The following is a 21,280-nucleotide window of genomic DNA, read 5'->3' on the forward strand; positions in this document are numbered from 1 at the left end:
ATAAAAAGCAGCCTTTATACATCCAGTCTCATGAGCAGGTGTCTCTGGAAAGATAAGAACTGCTCTCGGCTGGGTGCGGTGGCTCATGCCTATAATTCCAGCACTTTGGGAGGCTGAGGTGGGCAGATCCCTTGAGCCTAGGCGTTCAAGACCAGCCTGGGCAACACAGTGAGACCTTGTCTCTCCAAAAAATTTAAAAATTAGCTGGCTGTGGTGGTGCACGCCTGTAGTCCCAGCTACTTGGGAGGCTGAGGTGGCAGGATCACTTGAGTCTGAGAGGTCGAGGCTGCAGTCAGTTGTAATCATGCCACTGTGCTCCAGCCTGGGTGACAGAGTGAGACCCTGTCTCAAACAAAAAAAAAGCTGCCTTCTAAAGTGGTTTCCTAGTGCAGAGGTGGTGACACACTGTCAAGCACGAGGCTGACTTCGCTGTGGGGGACCCTGGTGCTCCTGGGCCCACCCTCTCTTAGCTCTTCACTCACCATCCCTTGCTCTGCGGTGGTCTGGTCAGCTGCCCGCGTTCTCTCCAGGGCCACTATCTGGGCTTCTAGCGCCTGGGTGCGCTCCAAGAACTGCTGCTCCAGAGCAAGGGCCTGCTGCTGCACATGGCTGCTCTCCTGGTTGGCGGCAGCCTGCGGGGAGACCAAAGGACGGTCAGTCAGGGTGACAATGGTTTCCAGTGGGGGATCTTAGTCTGGCCCTAGGTGAGAAGATGAGTATCCAACAGAAACAACTCTCTCCTGACCCCATCCCCCCTGGCGTTGCTGAGGTCCCCCCTGCAGGCTCTGCCTGTTGCTCCTGGACCCTGGCCTGTCCAGAAGATGGAGTCTTGATGTCATCACTCCATCCTCAAGGTGTGTGGGGACAGCTCTGGGCACCAGCCAGCCCTTAGACACAGGCCTCCTTCACACTACTCAGTGTTGCCTCAGTGGCTGCGGCTTTCCCTGGGGAGAAATTATACTGGGGAGGCAGTATAATACAGCAATGAAGAACAGGGCTTTGACAGGAGAAAGATGTGGATTCTGCCATTTACTGGCTGCGAGCCTGTGGGCTACTGAGCCAATCTTTCTGAGCTTGCCTCGTCTACAGGATGAGGATGACAGTGCATAATTCTCAGGTCTCCTGCAAGGACTAAACGAAAACACGTGCATAGCACTGAGCACAGTGCCTGGGACATGGCGAATATGAAATACACGCTGGCTGGTTTGATTTCCCTATCTTCTAACTCCACACCACGCTTGGCCTGTCATCACAGGCCATCCTCCCCAGAGTCTGGACTTGTTCTCCCCGCCCCTGATTGCAAGTTGAGGCTTGACTCCTAGCGGAGCTGCCACCTCTGACAGCCCCAGGACCAGGCTGGACCAGAAGGTGGGATGTAAGGTGGAAAGGAGCTGCTGGTGCACCTCCCAGGTAACTCAGGCCCACCATTAGGTCCTGACTCCCTCCACCCCCTGCTGCTGGCCTGCTCACATCCAGCACAAGAACTGTATCTATGGGCAGGTCCAGGTACCGTTGCCGAAGTTCGGAATGAGTTTGGAGCATCTGCAAAGGCCTGGAGAGAAAGCATTAAGGGCCTGGAATGCAGCAGCTCCAATAAGCACTTACGAGCTCCTGTATCTGAGTTTCCTGGGCAGCCACAATGCCCTTGCTCTGTTGGAGCTGCTCCTCAGAGGCCTGCAAGGTCTGCTCCAGTTCTCTCACCTGAGAGGGAAGCAGAAGCATTCTTTCTGTTCACAAGAAGCTGAAGAGTGGTAACAAATGGCTTTAAAATGCAAAGCGATTTAAATAAAACAGGTACATTATAGAAAAATGTAACCTGAGAAAAAAGATACTGCATAAGTCTACCATTATAAAACACTAGCATTCTAACGTATTTTCTTAAACTCTCTTTTAATGACTTTTGTTTATAGCTTTATATAAAGTTTTAATAGGACAATGTAAAACTTTGTATCTTTTCCCTACTCTTAAATGTCCTTCTGTCTCCATGTAATCTTTAGACCTCAGATTATTATTTCCTCTAGAGTGTTTTGTAATTTACTGACCCATTTGCCTACTGTGCTGCCTACTTAGGCTTTCTGTTTTTCCCATCTAAAAGAATGCAGCAATTAACATCTTCACACAGTATTTTTTTTTTTTTTTTTTTGAGATGGAGTCTTGCTCTGTCGCCCAGGCTGGAGTGCAGTGGCATGATCTCCACTCACTGCAAGCTCCGCCTCCTGGGTTCACGTCATTCTCCTCCCTCAGCCTTCTGAGTAGCTGGGACTACAGGTGCCCGCTACCATGCCCAGCTAATTTTTTGTATTTTTAGTACAGACAGGGTTTCACTGTGCTAGCCAGGATGGTCTTGATCTCCTGACCTCGTGATCCACCTGCCTTAGCCTCCCAAAGTGCTGGGGCTACAGGCGTGAGCCACCATGCCCGGCCTATTTTTTTTTTTTTTTTTGAGATGGAGTGTCACTCTGTCATCAGGCTGGAGTGCAGTGGCGTGATCTCAGCTCACTGCAACCTCCGCCTGCTGGGTTCAAGCGATTCTCCTGCCTCAGCCTCCTGGGTAGCTAGGACTACAAGCGCACGCCACCACGCCCAGCTATTTTTTTTTTTTTTTTGAGATGGAGTCTCACTCTGTTGCCCAGGCTGGCGTGCAGTAGTGCAATCTTGGCTCACTGTAACCTCCACCTCCTGGGTTCAAGTGATTCTCCTACCTCAGCCTCCTGAGTAGCTAGGGACTACAGGCACATGCCACCACACCCAGCTAATGTTTTGTATTTTTAGTACAGACAGGGTTTCACCATGTTAGCCAGGATGGTCTCGATCTGCTGACCTCGTGATCCGCCCACCTCGGCCTCCCAAAGTGCTGCAATTACAGGCATGAGCCACCGCACCTGGTTGCTAATTTTTGTATTTTTAATAGAGACGGGGTTTCACCATGTTGGCCAGGACACACAGTATTTTTTTAACTGGTTTGAATCACTTCCTTAGGACAGATTCCTTGAAGTGGAATTACTGTTCACAATACAAATTCAGGATTTACTCATTCCACAAATACTGAGCAAGACTGACTCCATACCAGGAACTGCACCTGGGCACGAGGCCAGTGCCGTGAGTGGGACAGATGTAGACTGGCCCTCAGGGACTCACTGTCTAGTACTGAGTTGCACTTGGCTCTCCAAGATGGCAGTTTTACCAGATTCAAGCTACATCTATGAATTTCTCTTAGAAAGCCTTCTTATTTACTGAATAAGGTCTGGCCTTGGGGAGCTTTATTATTATTATTATTATTTTTGAGATGGAGTCTCGCTCTGTCGCCCAGGCTGGAGTGCAGTGGCATGATCTCGGCTCACTGCAAGCTCCACCTCCCGGGTTCACGCCATTCTCCTGCCTCAGCCTCCTGAGTAGCTGGGACTACAGGCAACTGCCACCATACCCAGCTAATTTTTTCTATTTTTTAGTAGAGACGGGGTTTCACTGTGTTAGCCAGGATGGTCTCGATCTCCTGACCTCATGATCCGCCTGCCTTGGCCTCCCAAAGTGCTGGGATTACAGGTGTGATTCACCGCGCCCAGCTGGGGAGCTTTATTATTAAACATAAGCACAAGGAAGGCTGTATGCAGCTTGGTGAAGGAGAGGTAGACACACAAGGAGAGGATTTTTTTTCTTTTTGAGACAGTCTTGCTCTGTCGCCCAGGCTTGAGTGCAGTGGCGCGATCTCGGCTCACTGAAAGCTCCGCCGCCTCCTGGGTTCACGCCATTTTCCTGCCTCAGCCTCCTGAGTAGCTGGGACTACAGGCGCCTGCCACCATGCCCAGCTAATTTTTTGTATTTTTAGTAGAGACAGGGTTTCACCGTGTTAGCCAGGATGGTCTCGATCTCCTGACCTTGTGATCCGCCCGCCTCAGCCTCCCAAAGTGCTGGGATTACAGGCATGAGCCACCGTGTCCAGCCAAGGAGAGGACGTTTTTAAGGCCTAGGCTCCTCACATACATTCACATCTTAGATTTAACCGAAACAATCCCATGAGAAAGGGGCTACTAGTCCACGGAGAAGAACAGGATTGTTACTAGCTCATGACTGCAAATTTTATTGGTGGTAGCGCCAAAACTAAGACGTTGTTTTACACTCCTGAGATCAGAAAATACCTAAGTCTCAATTTAGAAGCCAAGTTCAAGATAGATTCAGATCTTCAAGAGATTAAAGAAAAAGTTACCATATCACCCTGCAATTTTATTCCTAGGTATACACTGAAGAGAAATGAAAACACTAAGTCCACACAAAAACCTTGTACAGGAACGTTCATGGTAGCATTATTCACAACAGCCAAAAGATAGAAACAACGCAAATGTCCATCAAAAGCTGGGTGTGGGTTGGGTGCGGTGGCTTATGCCTGTAATCCCAGCATTTTGGAAGGCCAAGACGGGTGGATCACTTGAGGCCAGGAGTTCGAGACCAGCCTGGCCAACATGGCAAAACCCTATCTCTGCTAAAAATACAAGGCGTGGTGGTCTATATGTGTAGTCCCAGCTACTCAGAAGGCTTAGGCACAAAAACTGCTTAAACCTGCGGGGTGGGGGTTGCAGTGAGCCAAGATCGCACCACTGCACTCCAGCCTGGGCAACAGAGCGAGATTTTGTCTAAAAAAAAAAAAGCTATGCCTTTGCCTCCCTAAGTACTGGGCTTACAGAACGGGGGCTCGTGCCTGCAAGCCAAGCACTTAGGGAAACAAAGGTATAGCTTGAGCCCAGGAATTGGAGACCTGCCTGGGCAACATAGGGAGACCCTGTTCTCCACAAAAAGGGGAGAAAAAGACCAAAAAAAAAAAAAAAAAAAAAGACAAATGGAATTCAAGTGTTCATCAATGAATGAATGGAGAAACAAAATGTGGTCTATACATATAATGGAATATTATTCAGTCTTAAAAAGGAATAGGCCAGGCACAGTGGCTCATACCTGTAATCCCAGCACTTTGGGAGGCCGAGGTGGGCGGGTCACAAGGTCAGGAGATTGAGACCATCTTGGTCAACATGGTGAAACCCCATCTCTACTAAAATGCAAAAAATTAGCCAGGCGTGGTGGAGCGTGCCTGTAGGCGCGCGCCTGTAGTCCCAGCTACTCGGGAGGCTGAGGTAGGGGAATTGCTTGAACCTAGGAAGCGGAGGTTGCAGTGAGCCGAGATCGTGCCACTGCACTCCAGCCTGATGACGGAGCAAGACTCCATCTCAAAAAAATTCTAAAAAAAAAAAAAATTCTGTTAAAAAAAAAAAAGGAATGAAAGTCTGACATATGCTACAACATAGATGAACACTGAAGATGTATATACTAAGTCAAATAAGCCAGACACAAAAGGACAAACATTGTATGATTCCACCAACAGGAGGTATCTAGAGTGTCCAAACTCAAAGAGACAGAAAATAGAATGGTGGTTCCCAGACTGGGGTAGGAGGAATTGGGGAGTTACTGTTTAATAAGTATAGAGTTTCTGTTTGGGAAGATGAAAAAGTTTTGGAGATGGATGGTGGTGATGGTTGTACGACAATGTACACTGATCAAAAAGGATATTCAGAAACAGAATTGAAATTATAATAAAACAGTCTTTTCAGAAAAATATAGTTTAAAATGTATTTATCAGGAAATAAGAAAGATTTTAAAAATGAGATAAATATTCAATTCAAGAAATTAAACAAATTGGCCAGCACAGTTACTCACATCTGTAATCCCAGCACTTTGGGAAGCTGAGGTGGGCAGATCACTTGAGGTCAGGAGTTTGAGACCAGCCTGGCCAACATGGTGAAACCCCGTCTCCACTAAAAATACAAAAAGGCTGGGCGCAGTGGCTCACGCCTGTAATCCTACCACTTTGGGATGCTGAGGCAGGTGGATCACGAGGTCAGGAGTTCAAGACCAGCCTGGCCAACATGGTGAAACCTTGTCTCTACCAAAAATACAAAAATTAGCTGGGCATGGTCACATGCCTGTAATCCCAGCTACTTGGGAGGCTGAGGCAGGAGAACTGCTTGAACCAGGACACAGGAGGCAGAGAGAGCAGTGAGCCAAGATTGCACCACTGGACGCCAACCCAGGCTACAGAGCCAGACTCTGTCTCAAAAAAAAAAAATAAATAAAATAAAATAAATTAAAAAAATACAAAAAAAAAAATGAGCCGGGTGTGGTGGTACACACCCATAATTCCAGCTCTTTGGGAGGTTGAGGCAGGAGAATCGCTTGTGCCTGGGAGGCGGAGGTTGTGGTAGGCTGAGATCAGGACACTACACTACAGCTTGGGTGATACAGCGGGAGTCCATCTCAAAAAATAATAATAATAAAATAAAATAAAAATAAATAAATAAATAAATATATGGTGCTGTATTCCCAGTACTTTGGGAGGCTGAGATGGGTGGATCACTTGAGGTCAGGAGTTTGAGACCAGCCTGGCCAACATAGTGAAACCCCGTCTCTACTAAAAATATAAAAATTAGCCAGGCGTGGAGGCAGGCATCTTTTAACCCAGCTACTTGGGTGGGTGAGGCAGGAGAATTGTTTGAACCTGGGAAGCGGAGGTTGCAGTGAGCCGAGATCATGCCACTGCACTCCAGCCTGGATGAGAGTGAGACTCTGCCTCAAATAAATAAATAAATAAATACATACATACCAAAAACCTGCAAATGTTACACCAAATAATGAAACTTTAGGCATATTTCCTTTAAGACTGGGAACAAAACAAAGATTCCCACTAACCCTTTTATTGCTTCACTCAGTCTGGAGGTCTTTAATGCTATATGAACAGAAAATGGAATAAGAGGTGGGAAGATTGGAAGGAGTAAGATAAAGTTGTCATTTTTTCATAGATAATATGATTATCTACCTAAGAAAAACAACAAAAAAATCACACAGTAGTAGAGTAAGAAAGTTCAGCAGGGGTGTGATATCCAAGATCAACTTTAAAAAATGGCAGTTCTCTAGAATAACCAGAAATAACCAATTATAAATATGATTAAAAATAAAGTTCGGGTGTGGTGGCTCGTGCCTGTAATTCCAGCACTTTGGGAGGCCGAGGCTGAGGTCAGGAGTTCGAGACCAGCCTGGCCAACATGACAAAACCCCGTCTCTGCTAAAAATACAAAAATTAGTCGGGCGTGGTGGCACGTGCCTGTAATTCCAGCTACTCAGAAGGCTGACGCAGAAGAATTGCTTCAACCTGGGAGGCGGAGGTTGCAGGGAGCCGAGATGGCACTATTGCACTCTAGCCTGGGGGATAGAGTGAGACTGTGTCTCCAAAAAATAAATAAATAAATAAATAAATAAATAAATAAGGGCCTGGCGCAGTGGGTCATGCCTATAATCCTAGCACTTTGGGAGGCCAAGGCAGGCGGATCACCTAAGGTCAGGAGTTTGAGACCAGCCTCAACATGGTGAAACCCTGTCTCTACTAAATACATAAAAATTAGCTTAGCGTGGTGGCACGTGCCTGTAATCCCAGCTACTTGGGAGGCTGAGGCAGGAGAATCGCTGGAACCCAGGAGGCAGAGGCTGCAGTGAGCCAAGATAGTGCCACTGCACTCCAGCCTGGGCGACAGAGTGAGACTCTATCTCAAAAAAAAAGAAAGATTAAAAATAAGATACCATCACAGGCCGGGCGCGGTGGCTCACGCCTATAAACCCAGCACTTTGGGAGGCCAAGGCAGGCGGATCATCTGAGGTCAGGAGTTTGAGACCAGCCTGGCCAACATGATGAAACCCTGTCTCTACTAAAAATATAAAAAAATTAGCTGGGCGTGATGCTGGACACCTGTAATCCCAGCTACTCGGCAGGCTGAAGCAGGAGAATCGCTTGAACCCGAGAGGTGGAGGTTGCAGTGAGCCGAGATTGTGCCATTGCACTCCAGCCTGGGTGACAAGAGCAAAACTCTGTCTCAAAAGAAAAAAAAGATACCATCACAGTATCAACACAAACTCTAAAGTTTCTAGGAATTAGCAACTTAGGCAAGAAAATAAGACATCTATTGAGAAAAATGTAAAATTTTAATAAAACACACAGAAAATAATCTGAATAAATGGAATATATTTACATTGTTAGAAGGAATAATTAATATTATAAAATGGACAATTTTTCCCAATTAGCCTATACATTTAATGCAATCCCAATAAAAATTCAAGTTGAATTTTTTAGTAACTCAAAAACTTAAAAATTTTAAAGGCCCATAAATAGTTAAAGTCAACCTTTGAAAAAAAAAGAGAATTTGTCTTATTGGGTGTTGAGATATAGTACAGATATCACTATAGTAATAAAAACATTGTAGTGTTTACACAAGAGCAGACAATCAGACCAATGGACAGAGAATGCAGAGACAAACCCATGTGCAGACAGAAACAATACGTGATAAAGTTAGCAAGAGGAATCAATTCAGAAAGGACAGACTGTTTAGTAAATGATTTTGAGAAATATGCAGAATTTCTCCATATTTAGATCCCTACCTAAGACCATACAGAAAGACAGTTTGTAAGTGAATTAGAGATTTATTATGTGAAGGAAAAATTATAAAGTTAATAGGGAAAAAACAGTAGATCTCTGTGACTTAGGAACAGGAATAGATTTTCTAAATGGAACTTCAAACTCCACAGCAAAAATGTGATGAATCTGGTAACACTGAACTTAAGAAAGTCTATTCAACAAAGGATACATGGACAAAGTTAACAGAATGACTCAGGACTGAAACTGATAAAGCATTAGGAACAAGAATATACAATGAAATCCTACAAACCAAATAAGAAAAGACTGAAACCCCCAAAGAAAATAAGGAAAGGATATGAATGGGCAATTCCAAAAGCAGAAACCCCCAGGAATTAACAGGCACATGAAGACAAGGCCAAACTCATTAATCACCATAGCAATGCAAATTAAAGCAATGAAATACCACTCCACACTCAGTAAACTGGCAAAAATTGTAAAGGCTTGGAAATGCCAATGCTGGAAAAGTCAGAAAGGCATATATAGGAACGCTCATGCATGCTGGAGGAGGAGAGCCAGGTGCAGGCTTGCTGGGAACAATCTTCTCCTATAGTACTTAGTCTCTTTAGGTTTTATGCATGATCTGAGGTGGCAGGAAGAAGGAAGCAATCTGGATGTCTACCACATAGATAACTACAAAGTACAATGAAGTGGGTACAGACAGAAGTTGAGGCAGCTAAAAGTAATAGAGAAAACATACCCATAGCTGCATCATTTACAGAAATTAAAAACCCAGTGCTACATATTTTAAAACAACCCAACAAAAAGAGCATCTATATGAACCACAACGGAATGGTATCCTATGGGAGGGAGGCCAATGGGGATAAAAGGGTATAAATAAACATATAACTCAATCATAGTAATGTGACAAGGATGAAGAAAATGACTAACTCATCCCTGTATAGGTAAGATCCAAAAATAATCCCTTCTAGTGAAAAAACTCTGACCAAGAAGATTCTCAGTCACACCATGTTGCCATTCAGCCAGGTTACCACCCAAACTTAGGAAACACCAGGAGTAAGGTCAGTACCCGAGTCTCCAGGGTGTTAATGGCCTTAGCCTGGCTGCTTCTGGCTGCCAAGAGCTGTTGTCTGGTATCCTCCAAATTCTGCTCAGCAAGTGTTTTCTGTAAGTTGAAAGAAGAGTAAAAGAAGACTATCATTCCTCAGTTGAATAAATATTTACAGATTATCTACAACATATTGTGACTTGTGCTAGGCACAAGAGACATGAATACATTTTTAATAATTCAGCTAATTGAGAAATAATTCACATATCATAAAGTACACACAGATAAATTTGAAATAGTCCCTTGACCTTGAGGCTGGAACAAAAGACTAATAAAAAATTACACAATAGAGTACAGTAAGTGTCCACAAAGAGGAAGAAGCACAGGGTGGGAGATACTCCCTGCCACAGGGCAGGTAGGCAGCTTTAGAACTCACAAAGTCGTTAGGGTTCAGGGAGCCTCCCAGGCAGGGGGATGACCAACGGCTATGTGAACAGCCTGCTACGTTGAGGGAACTACTACTCCTCAGAAGCCAAAATGATGATGGGTTTAGGTCAAAAAACAAGACTAGAAAGATAGGCAAAAGGGCCAGCTCATGAGAAGCTTTTGAATGTTGCAAAAAGGAGTTAGAACTTGATTCTGTAAGCAACATTTTTCAAAGTAGAAATTCTAGGCCGGGTGTGGTGGCTCACACCTGTAATCCCAGAACTTTGGGAGGCTGAGGCAGGCAGATCACTTTAGGTCAGGAGTTCGAGACCAGCCTGGCTAACGTGGTGAAATCCCATCTCTACTAAAAATATTTTAAAAATTAGCTGGATGTGGTGGTGGGTACCTGTAATCCCAGCTACTTGGGAGGTTGAGGCAGGAGAATTACTTGAACCCAGGAAGCGGAGTTGCAGTGAGCAGAGATTGTACCACTGAACTCCAGCCTGGGTGACAGAGTGAGACTCTGTCTTAAAAAAAAAAATGGGGCTGGGAGCGGTGGTTCACGCCTGTAATCCCAGCACTTTGGGAAGCCGACGTGGACAGATCACGAGGTCAGAAGTTCGAGACCAGCCTGACCAACATGGTGAAGCCCTGTCTCTACTAAAAATACAAAAAAATTAGCTGGATGTGGTGGTGTGCACCTGTAGTCCCAGCTACTCGGGATGCTGAGGCAGGAAAATCACTTGAACCCCGGGAAGCAGAGGTTGCAGTGAGCCGAGATCACGCCACTGCACTCTAGCCTGGGCAACAGAGTGAGACTCCGTCTCAAAAAAAAAAAAAAAAAAAAGAAATGTAGACTTAGCTGAGATAGCTGTTACTGAGATAGTTGTTAATCTCAGCTAGTTGCACAGATTTGAGGCCTTGCTCCAAGCCTAAGGAAATCAGAATTTCTGAGGGTAGGGCCAGAGATATATACTTTATTTACTTATTTATTATTTTTGAGATGGAATTTCACTCTTGTCGCTCAGGCTGGAAAGTAGTGGTGCGATCTTGGCTCACTGCAACCTCCGCCTCCTGGGTTCAAGTGATTCTCTTGCTTCAGCCTCCTGAGTAGCTGGAATTACAGGCACCCGCCACCATGCCCAGCTAATTTATTTATTTATTTATTTTTTTGAGACAGAGTCTCGCTCTGTCACCAGGCAGGAGTGCAGTGGCATGATCTCAGCTCACTGCAACCTCCCAGGTTCAAGCAATTCTCCTCCCTCAGCCTCCGGAGTAGCTTGGGACTACAGGCATGTGCCACCACGCCCAGCTAATTTTTGTATTTTTAGTAGAGACGGGCTTTCACCATGTTGGCCAGGATGGTCTCGATCTCCTGATCTTGTGATCCGCCCGCCTCGGCCTCCCAAAGTGCTGGGATTATAGGTGTGAGCCACCGCGCCTGGCCTAATTTTTGTATTTTTAATAGAGGCGGGGTTTTGCCATGTTGGCCAGGCTGGTCTTGAACTCCTGACCTCAGGTGATCTGCCCGCCTCGGCTACCCAAAGTGCTGGGATTACAGGCGTGAGCCACCACGCCTGGCCTAGAGATATATACTTTAAACAAACTTCCCAAGTAATTTCTATGCACATTAAACATTATAATAATGATGATGGCACAATAATAATATTGATCATGTTTACAGCTGACATACATTGAGACCCTACTCTGTTCCGGTTATCATTCTAAGCACTTCACATATTGTAACTTATTTAACCCTAACAACAATTCTGAGTTTAATAGTATAATAAAACCAATTTTATTGGGGAGGAAGCAAACACAAAGAGATTAAATTACTTGCTCTAAGTCAGGGGTCCCCAACCCTTGGGCCACAGACCTTGCAGTCTGTTAGGAACCAGGCCGCACAGCAGGAGGTGAGTGGTGAGTAAGCACTACCACCTAAGATCTGCCTCCAGTCACATCAGTGGTGGTGTTAGATTTTCATAGGAGCATGAACCCTATTGTGAACTGTGCAAGTGAGGGATCCAGGTTGCACACTCCTTATGAGAATCTAGGGACGATGATGATCTGAGGTGGAACAGTTTTATTCTGAAACCACCCCCTCACCCGACCCAACCTGACCCCATCTGTGGAAAAACTGTCTTCCACGAAACCAGTCCCTGGTGCCAAAACGGTTGGGAACTGCTGCTCCAAGTCAAAGCTGGTAAGCAGAAGAGGCAAAATGCAAGCATGGACATTCTGATTCTAGAAATCAATTTATTCCCTAGAACCCACATTACACTTCCTGTAGACTGTTGAAGGGAATTGTAGAAGATGTTTAAGAGAGTGATATGGTCACCAGTGCTGATTAGGAGGATCAGTTTGGCAGTGAGCGTGGGAGACTGTGTCAGAGAGTGAAGGAAGAGAGACTGATGCTGGGTAGGCCAATCTGGAGACTTCTAACATAGACTAGGCTAGATTTGCTGGAAACCCTGAAGTACAACCAGTGGCACTGGAGATGGAGGTATTTAGTTGAAACTGACTGAAGAAAGAAAGGGAGGGTCTAATCTAGGAGCCTCATGACCTGGGCTTTGTCACCTTTGTCACAGTGTGGCCAATCACTGGAACAGAAAGAGAGGGAAGAGCAGAATGTGTGCAGACAATGAGCTCAGCCTGATGAGAAAGTTCCCTTGCACCACTGGGGAAGAGGCCAGTCTGCACAACAGCCTCCCTTGGGAAGGAGAGAATGCTGCCCAAGGTAATTCTTGCTTTTGCCAAGGGGCAGATGTAGCTATTTACCTTGGCCACTGCAGAGTACAAAATGGTGGGGAAGAGGGCAGTGCAGAAAGACAAGGCAGCCCAAGTGGCGGAAATCACTAGGTGTGGTTTATTGGTGATGAGATGCTATCCGTTTGTATGTATCTCTGAATACAGCTCTCCCTTTCCCTGAGAAAAGCATGTCACCCACAGGGGACATAAGGCTCTTTCTGATGTAAGCAGGACAAGCCAAAGTTGGAGACACTTCTTTTGTTACCATGCTGTTTGCTGGCCCTACAGCTCTGAAACTCTAGGAATTGTGAAGTCACCAGAATCAACCCTGCCTTTCCAACACCAGCCAGCCCAAAGAGAACAGAAGTTACCTCTTTCAGGAGTTCTTGCAAGTGTTCTTCTCCTGATAAGTTCTGTTCTAGTCTCTTCTCCAAGGATGCAACCTTCTCTTGCAAATGTGTGATAACGTCTTCTTTCTCTTGAGTTTCAGCAGTGACCTGCAGGTGAAAGCAGAGATCACTCTATACTAGAAGCCCTCTCTTCCTTCCTTCCTGCTTTCTTTTGGGCCATCACATTTTCCTGCAACTCTGTCCTCAACTGTATCCTAGAAGAACAAACAGCTAAGAGATCTTCCTGAAAATGGGATACAGAAAATGCAAGATTAGAACCTGGCAAAACTCAGGGATCCAGCTCAGACCTAGTGCAGCAAGAAGCAAACACTCTTCCCAATTAAACAACTGACAGTCTGGAACAAAGGCATTACCTACGTGGTAGAGGCAGCAGAACTAATCCCACCAAGAAGCACTCAGCCTGCAATGACCTATGGAACAATGCTCCTGAAAGCTGAGGGGCTGGATAAAGCAGTAACAGTGCTGATGTAGTGGCTTTAAGGCTAAAGAGAGAACTTCTGAAATGATGAGATTCACCTGGCTCACAGGACAGGGACCACAGCAGAGCTGCCATGCTTCTCATACCTTGGCTTTAGACCAACAGCTGCCCGTTTTATTTCAATCTATTATTTTTGGTTTTTTGAGACGGAGTGTCGCTCTGTTGCCTTGGCTGGAGTACAGTGGCGCGATCTCGGCTCACTGCAACATCCACCTCCTGGGTTTACGCCATTCTCCTGCCTCAGCCTCCCGAGTAGCTGGGACTACAGGCGCCCACCACCACACCCGGCTAATTTTTTGTATTTTTAGTAGAGACGGGGTTTCACCATATTGGCCAGGATGGTCTCAATCTCCTGTCCTCATGATCCACTAGCCTCGGCCTCCCAAAGTGCTAGGATTACAGGCGTAAGCCACTGTGCCTGGCCAGTCTATCTCTTTAGCTATGATGGTAGTGGTGGTAGCAACAGGTTGGGACTAACTTGGTTCCTTTTACTGCTACTAATCTTCAACTGCTGCTTGTATTAGTCCATTCTCACACTGCTATAAAGAATACCTGAGACTGAGTAATTTATAAAGGAAAGAGATTTAATTGACTCACAGTTCCACATGGCTGGGAGGCCTCAGGAAACTTACAAGCATGGCAGAAGGAGAAGGGGAAGCAAGGTACATCTTACACGGTGGCAGGATAGAGCAAGCGAGCGAGGGGGGAAGTGCCATACTGTAAAACCATCAGCTCTCATGAGAACTCACTCACTATCACAAGAACAGCAAAGGAGAAATCTGCCTCCATGATCCGATCACCTCCCACCAGGTCCCTCCCTTGACATGTGGGCATTACAATTTGAGATGAGACACGGAGCCTAACCATATCACTGCTCAATGTCAAAGCAGAGGATCCAGGAAGCTTTGAATACATGAGTTCTTACATCCCCACTGAGGATGCCCATTCTTCCCCAGAAAAGGTTGTAGGGCAACAAAATCTCACTGTGAAGACTTGTACCTCTTTACATGTACTCTGTTCCCTCAAATTCCCTTATCTTACACTTCCGTTGCTCCATTTCAAGCCATAAACTTTCATGTTCAGTTGTAACTTGGCCGATCTCTCCTCAGGATAAGATGCAGCAACCAGGGTGTATGGTTTTGGGAAGAAGTATTTGCCATTCTGAATTCTCACAGGTGGACAACAGAGATAGTGGAGGGGAAGTCTGAAGACTAGATTTATGACCCCACAATTCAATAAACTTTCATCAAGCCTGAACTCTATCTGTTGTTTTCTGAGGATACAATCAACATTAATTCCAGCATGGAGGCTGGTGGTGGAGACAGACACACACCTAATTACAAAACAACTGTGCTTCAACAGAGGGACACACACCGTGCTATGAGATATGAGATGCAAGAGGGATTAACTGGGAGAATCAGATCAGGCCTCCTGAATGGGCAAGTCCAGGTGAAAGAGGGTGGAAGAGGAACAATCATTCTGCATAAAGGGCAGCACATACAAAGAGGTAACAGACAAGTCCTGCAAGGCTAGAGGCTGGGTGAGGAGGAAAGAACAGCTGAACACAACTCTCAGGTCTGTGGCTCAGACACCTGGGCAAATGGTAACATTATGCAAGGTGGATAACACAGGAAAGTGAGTGAGTGTGATAGGAAAAAAAAAGCCAGTTTTGGCCATGTTGACCCATCTTTATGGGTCTCTTATTACTAATGTTAATACTAGCAATAGTTATAACTGTAATATAGCAGAAGCAGCTATAACAAGATTGCTGCAGCAATCTTGAAAAAGAATAACTGTAGGCTGGGCGTGGTGGCTCACGCCTGTAATCCCAGCACTTTGGGAAGCTGAGGTGGGCAGATCACGAGGTCAGGAGATCGAGACCATCCTGGCTAACACGGTGAAACCCCATCTCTACTAAAAATACAAAAACAAAATTAGCCGGACGTGGTGGCAGGCGCCTGTAGTCCCAGCTACTCAGGAGGCTGAGGCGGGAGAACGGCGTGAACCTGGGAGGCGGAGCTTGCAGTGAGCCAAGATCGCGCCACTGCACTCCAGCCTGAGCGAGGAGCGACACTCCGTCTCAAAGAAAAAAAAAAAGGAAAGAAAAAGAGTAACTGTTGATGTAAGAGTTGGAGAACATTACCTGATTTCAACTCTAAAGTGACAATGACCAAGACAGTGTGGTAATAGCGTAAAGACAGACATATAGGGTCAAGGGAACGCTGCAAGCACTTCCTATTATGTCTAGTCCTTACAAATGCTCTTTATCACATCCATTTACAAGGAAACTGAAGCTTAGGGACTAGCCCAAAGGCATATACCTATTAGCGATAGATGAAGAATTTAAATCCAGGTCTTCTGGATCCAAAGTCTGCATTTGTTCCCCTACACATCAATCTGAATTCAAGAGGTATAGATGACCCATTCCAGTTAAAACCAAAACAACACATCTTACACAGGTCACTGTGTTAGGCAAAGTTAGGGACAGAAAAAGAATCAGTGGCCAAGTTCCACTTATGCCTCTTGTGCAACATATTGATATGCGATCTCCTTCTCCAGGCTGGCTGATTTACTTCAGGCCCTCTACACCTCATGTGGACTACGGGAACAGTTACCAAGCCATACTCCCTGACATCAAACCTGCCCCTTTCCTAATGATCACCCTCTTCACCTACTCCCTCCCGAGTCTGGGTCTCACAGTTATAGTCCCAGAATATGGACTGCATCAATTCTGGGTGGTGGTCACTTGATTCAGACAGACATGAGTCTGAATCCTGGCTCTGTCATTGACTCCAGCTGTACGGTCTTGACAAATCATTTAGCCTTTGATGTCAGATGCCCATTACTATCACCTGTAAAATAGGAAAACACTGTCTAACCAAAGGGTAGTTGTGAGGACTCGATGAGTCCCTATCTGTAAAGCTCTTGAATACTGAGCTCAGGGTAAATGCTCAGCTATTCTTGTTAAATATTCACTAATGATTATTTATGAAATTTCATGTTCACTATTTAGTCTATACAACTGGCCCTGCATACCTTCCCAGCCTCATCTAGCACCGTTTCCACTTCCTTTCTAAGCGTTAACCACTTGTCTATCCTTTTGGTTCTCCCAACATGCCTTTTTTTCCTTCATTATAAATGTATTTATGGTGCTGAGACCAGTGGCTTATGTTTGTAATCCCAGCACTGTGAGAGGCCGAGGCAGGAGGCTTGCTTAAAGCCAGGAGATCAAAACCAGCCCAGGTAACACAGGGAGATCTTTTCTCTACAAAAGTAAAAAAATTGAAAACAAAAAAGGTTGAGGTTGCAGTGAGCCAACATCGCGCCACTGCACTCCAGCCTGGGCATCAAGAGCAAAACTCTGTCTCAAAAATAAATAAATAGATAGATAAAATAAAATAAATGGCAGGGCGTGGTGGCTCACGTGTGTAATCCTAGCACTTTGGGAGTCCGAGGCAGGCAGATCAAGAGGTCAGGAGTTCAAGACCAGCCTGACCAATATGGTGAAACCCTGTCTCTTCTAAAAATACAAAAATTAGCTGGGCATGGTGGCATGTGCCTATAGTCCCAGCTACTCGGGATGCTGAGGCAGGAGAATCACTTGAACCTGGGAGGTGGAGGCTGCAGTGAGCCAAGATCACACCACTGCACTCCAGCCTGGGCAACAGAGCAAGACTGTATCTCTAAATAAATAAATAAATAAATAAATAAATACATAAATATACTTATTTAAGTAAAAAAAAAAAAGTAAGGTGAATTCCATGAAAATATTGTGTTAAGTACAATACAGGTTAGGAAGAACATAAATTGGGAAGTTGAAAGATAATGGCTACAGTTGAGGAACTGCTATCCAGTAGAGTAAAAAATGTGTAATTCTGAACACTGTGGGTTAAATAAAAACAAAATGAAAAGAATTAAAGTAAAATTTTGTTTCCAAACTGACAGACATCTGGTAAGAATAAACTAGAAAAAAATAGAAAATGCATAAATACTACTATGAATGAAGATAGGGGAGCAACTAAAAAAAGAATATAAGAAATACAATGCCAAAACATTAAACTTATAGCAAATGAACAATTATGTAGAAAAATATAAATTAACAAAACTTAGGAAGAAATACATAAACTTAGAATTACCATTAAGGAAATCTATTCAGTAATTAAAAATCTTCACAAGCCAGGCAAAGTGGCTCATGCCTGTAATCCCAGGACTTTGGGAGGCTGAGGCAGGAGGATTGCTTGTGTCCTGGAATTCAAAACTAGCCTGGGCAACATAGTGAGACCTTAACTATAAAAAAATTTTTTTTTAATTAGCCAGGTGTGGTAGTGTAAGCCTGTAGTCCCAGATATATGGGAGGCTGAAGTAGGAGGATCACTTACACCCAGGAATTTGAGGCTGCAGTGAGCCATGATTGCACCATTGCACTCCAGCCTGGGTGACAGAGTGAGACCCTGACACACAAAAAAAAAAAAAAAAAAAAAAAAACGAAAACAAAAAAAAAACCCACCATCGACAAAAATTAAAATTTTGGTATGTCCCTACTATATTACTATATAATTGAGAAAAAATAAATTATAGCTCCAGGTATCATATGAATGTTTTTCAGGAGTGCAATGTTGAGCACAAAAAGTAAGTTTAGAAAAATACCTACAGAATGATTTATATAACATTAACAAGCATGGGAAACTAAAGAAGATAGTTTAGGGATAAAACTGACAACATTAGAAAGCAAAGTAGACAATGAAGCAATCTCCAAATAGTACTTACTTCCAAAGGAAAAAGGAATGGGATGGAATAGTGAAGGGCACAGAGGGAACCTCAAAGATAAACACATTGTTCTTTTTCTTAACCTGAGGGATAGCTCAGAGGGCTCATTGCCTTATTATACTTTCTATCATACTCATATTTTATAAATATGTTTTTATATATACTCAATAAAGACAAGAAAAAAACAAATTCCAAATTTACAATCTTCACACAATACCAGCCCTTCTTTTGCCCAAGCCAGAAGCCCATAAATCACCCATAAAAATACAGACTTTTCTCTTCCTGTCCTCCCATATCTATTACATTAGTAAGTCTGTCAATCTCTTCAATAGTTCTTACATTTGTCTACCCATTATTATCTTCACCACCACACTTGTCAAAGCCTCCATCATCTTACGGTCGAACAACTGCAAAAGCTTCCTAAGTGGAAGACCCTCTCAGTCTCCTAACGGCCAGAGTAATCTGTTATTCTCTCTTATTCTGTATGTCACTGGCTTTCTTCTAGTTCCTTGAATGTGCTAATCCTTTTATTTGCCTCAGAGTTTTTGTTCATGCTGTTCCCTGCTTGAAATTCTCTCCCATCATCCCTTTCTCTCCAGCCTGAGCACTGTATCGAGTGTTACTTCCTTAAGTGTTCTACGGCTCCAACTGGATCTGATCTGATATATATATATATTTTTTTTTTGAGACGGAGTTTCGCTCTTTTTGCCCAGGCTGGAGTGCAATGGTGCAATCTCGGCTCACTGCAACCTCCACCTCCTGGGTTCAAGCGATTCTCCTGCCTCAGCCTCCCAAGTAGCTGGGATTACAGGTGTGTGCCACCATGCCCAGCTAATTTTGTATTTTTAGTAGAGACAGGGTTTCTCCATGTTGGTCAAGCTGGTCTCGAACTCCCAACCTCAGGTGATCCACCTGCCTCGGCCTCCCAAAGTGCTGGGACTGCAGGCGTAAGCCACCAAGCCCAGCCCTGATCTGATATCTTTTAATAGGATCTCACTAAATCTCGTAGTTTTCTTTCAGAACACTCATCACGGTTAGTAATTATATATGTGATTACTGATTAATGTCTGACTTCCCTTCTAGACTATAAGCACCACAAAGGCAAGAACTGTATCTATTTTGCTCACCATAATATTATGAACACCCAGCACAGAGCCCAGCACATAGTAAAGCTCAACTAATATTTTTAGAATGAATGAAGAAACTTACTGTGACCAAAGTCTGGACTTCCCTGAGCCCCATTTTTCCAATTATAAAAACAACAGATGGTTCTAATTGACATCAAAGGGTCCCTTGACTATCAAAGTTGTGGCCAGGTGCCTGTAATCCCAGCACTTTGAGGGCCGAGGTGGGCAGATCACTTGATGCCAGGAGTTCAAGACCAGCCTGGCCAACATGGTGAAATCCTGTCTCTACTAAAAATACAAAAATTAGCCCGGTTGGTGCCTGTAGTCCCTGCTATTCAGGAGGCTGAGGTGGGAGGATTGCTTGAGCCTAGGAGGTGGAGGTTGCAGTGAGCCAAGATCACGCCATTGCACTCCAGCCTAGGTGACAAAGTGAGACCCTGTCTCAGAAAAAAACAAAATAATACAAAAACCAAAGTTGTGTATCTATTTTCCCCCTTCTTCCATGACCCCAAATGTACTCTCTGACCTTCTGCCTTTTCTGCCTCCTGCTGTCCTCCTGATCCTTGACATTCCAGTTCCTCTAGGAAGATTTCCTTGACTCCTGGGCTGGAATGTACTTCCCCTATGGTATATCTTTTGTATTTGAAAAATCTAGGGCTGAGTGTGGTGGTTCACCTCTGTAATCCCAGCACTTTGGGAGGCTGAGGCGGGTGGATTGCTTGAGCCCAGGAGTTCGAGACCAGCCTGGGCAACATAGCGAAACCCCATCTCTACAGATAATAATAATAAAAAAAAATTAGCCTGTTGTAGTGGCATGTGTCTGTAGTCCCAGCTATTTGGGAGGCTGAGGTGGAAGGATCACTTCAGCCTGGGAGGCTGAGGCTGCAGTGAGCCGTTGACGTCACTGCACTCCAGCCTGGGTGAAAGAGCAAGACCGTGTCTCAAAAAAAAGAAAAAAAAGAAAAGAAAAAAGAAAAACCTAGTTCACTTACTTGAGACTTCTTGTTTGAGCATTTCTTTTCTTGTGATTACAGTAGGTTTGAGTTCTATAATGAAACTGTAAGCCTCTGAAGGAAAACAATGTCTGTATTGAGATTTTTAGTTCATTGAGGGTAAAAAGCCTGTATCACAGTCATTCATTCACGTATATATTTACTGGGTGCTCCTTATTGTGAGGCAGCAAAGTGCAGTAGAATAAGCATGAGTTCTGGAGTAAGACTTGGGTTAGAATCCAACTCTGTCACTTACGGTTATAACTGTGAACAAGGTCAATAACCTCTTAGTTTCCACTTAGGTATCTGTAAGTATGATAATACTTAGCTAAGACCTCTATTGACAAAATCTTACTGTACTGTAATTATGTTGTAAGGCTCTGTCTCACTTGAGATCAGCAATTCTGAAAGATGAGGGTAGGGTGGATGGCACTGCCGAATAGGGGGTGGTTCTGTGATGTGAGGGGAAGGGCTGGATGTCAATGACTGAAGGATGCTATTGGCATTCAGAACCCAGAGGCCAGGAATGCTAAATGTCGCGCAATGCAATGGACAATCATACAATACGAGTTGTTCTGCTCAAAATGCCAATAATAAATTATGTCATTGGGAAATACTACTTTATTTTATTTATATTTATTTATTTATTTATTTATTTTATTATTTTTTTAAGACAGAGTCTCTCTCTGTCACCCAGGCAGGCTGCAGCGCAGTGGCACAATCTCAGCTCACTTGCAACCTCCACCTCCCAGGTTTAACCGAATCTCCTGCCTCAGCCTCCCAAGTACTGGAATTACAGGTGCACGCCACCACACCCAGCCTT

General features: G+C 44.4%; 1 protein-coding gene across 9 annotated transcripts in view, besides 3 other annotated features; it reads right to left on the reverse strand.

The window, feature by feature from the left end:
- GOLGA1 (golgin A1) overlaps positions 1-21,280 on the reverse strand; it is a 69,769-nt gene that overhangs the window by 20,572 nt on the left and 27,917 nt on the right. For all 9 annotated transcript variants that reach the window (XR_929766.2, XR_007061280.1, XR_007061279.1 and 6 more), the window contains exons 11-14: positions 13,055-13,180; positions 9,531-9,626; positions 1,606-1,701; positions 483-632 (exon numbers count right to left, since the gene is read on the reverse strand). Coding sequence is in view for 6 of the 9 variants with exons in the window: in XM_047423242.1 (XP_047279198.1) it covers positions 483-632; positions 1,606-1,701; positions 9,531-9,626; positions 13,055-13,180 (468 nt within the window). In the remaining 3 variants the exon portion in view is untranslated. The remainder of the gene's footprint in view (positions 1-482; positions 633-1,605; positions 1,702-9,530; positions 9,627-13,054; positions 13,181-21,280) is intronic.
- Positions 1,378-1,891: an enhancer, noted in NCBI's record as "H3K27ac-H3K4me1 hESC enhancer chr9:127662503-127663016 (GRCh37/hg19 assembly coordinates)". NCBI's record gives its function as "activates a minimal SCP1, AML or CMV promoter by ChIP-STARR-seq in primed H9 embryonic stem cells {active_cell/tissue: H9 hESC(primed)}" and the evidence as "EXISTENCE:reporter gene assay evidence [ECO:0000049][PMID:30033119]".
- Positions 4,514-5,014: an enhancer, noted in NCBI's record as "H3K27ac hESC enhancer chr9:127665639-127666139 (GRCh37/hg19 assembly coordinates)". NCBI's record gives its function as "activates a minimal SCP1, AML or CMV promoter by ChIP-STARR-seq in primed H9 embryonic stem cells {active_cell/tissue: H9 hESC(primed)}" and the evidence as "EXISTENCE:reporter gene assay evidence [ECO:0000049][PMID:30033119]".
- Positions 20,238-20,499: a silencer, noted in NCBI's record as "fragment chr9:127681363-127681624 (GRCh37/hg19 assembly coordinates)". NCBI's record gives its function as "represses an EF-1alpha promoter that drives an FKBP-Casp9 reporter gene in an ReSE screen in K562 erythroleukemia cells {active_cell/tissue: K562}" and the evidence as "EXISTENCE:reporter gene assay evidence [ECO:0000049][PMID:32094911]".

This window comes from Homo sapiens, chromosome 9 (genome assembly GCF_000001405.40).
Source record: "Homo sapiens chromosome 9, GRCh38.p14 Primary Assembly".
NCBI classification, from domain to species: domain Eukaryota; kingdom Metazoa; phylum Chordata; class Mammalia; order Primates; family Hominidae; genus Homo; species Homo sapiens.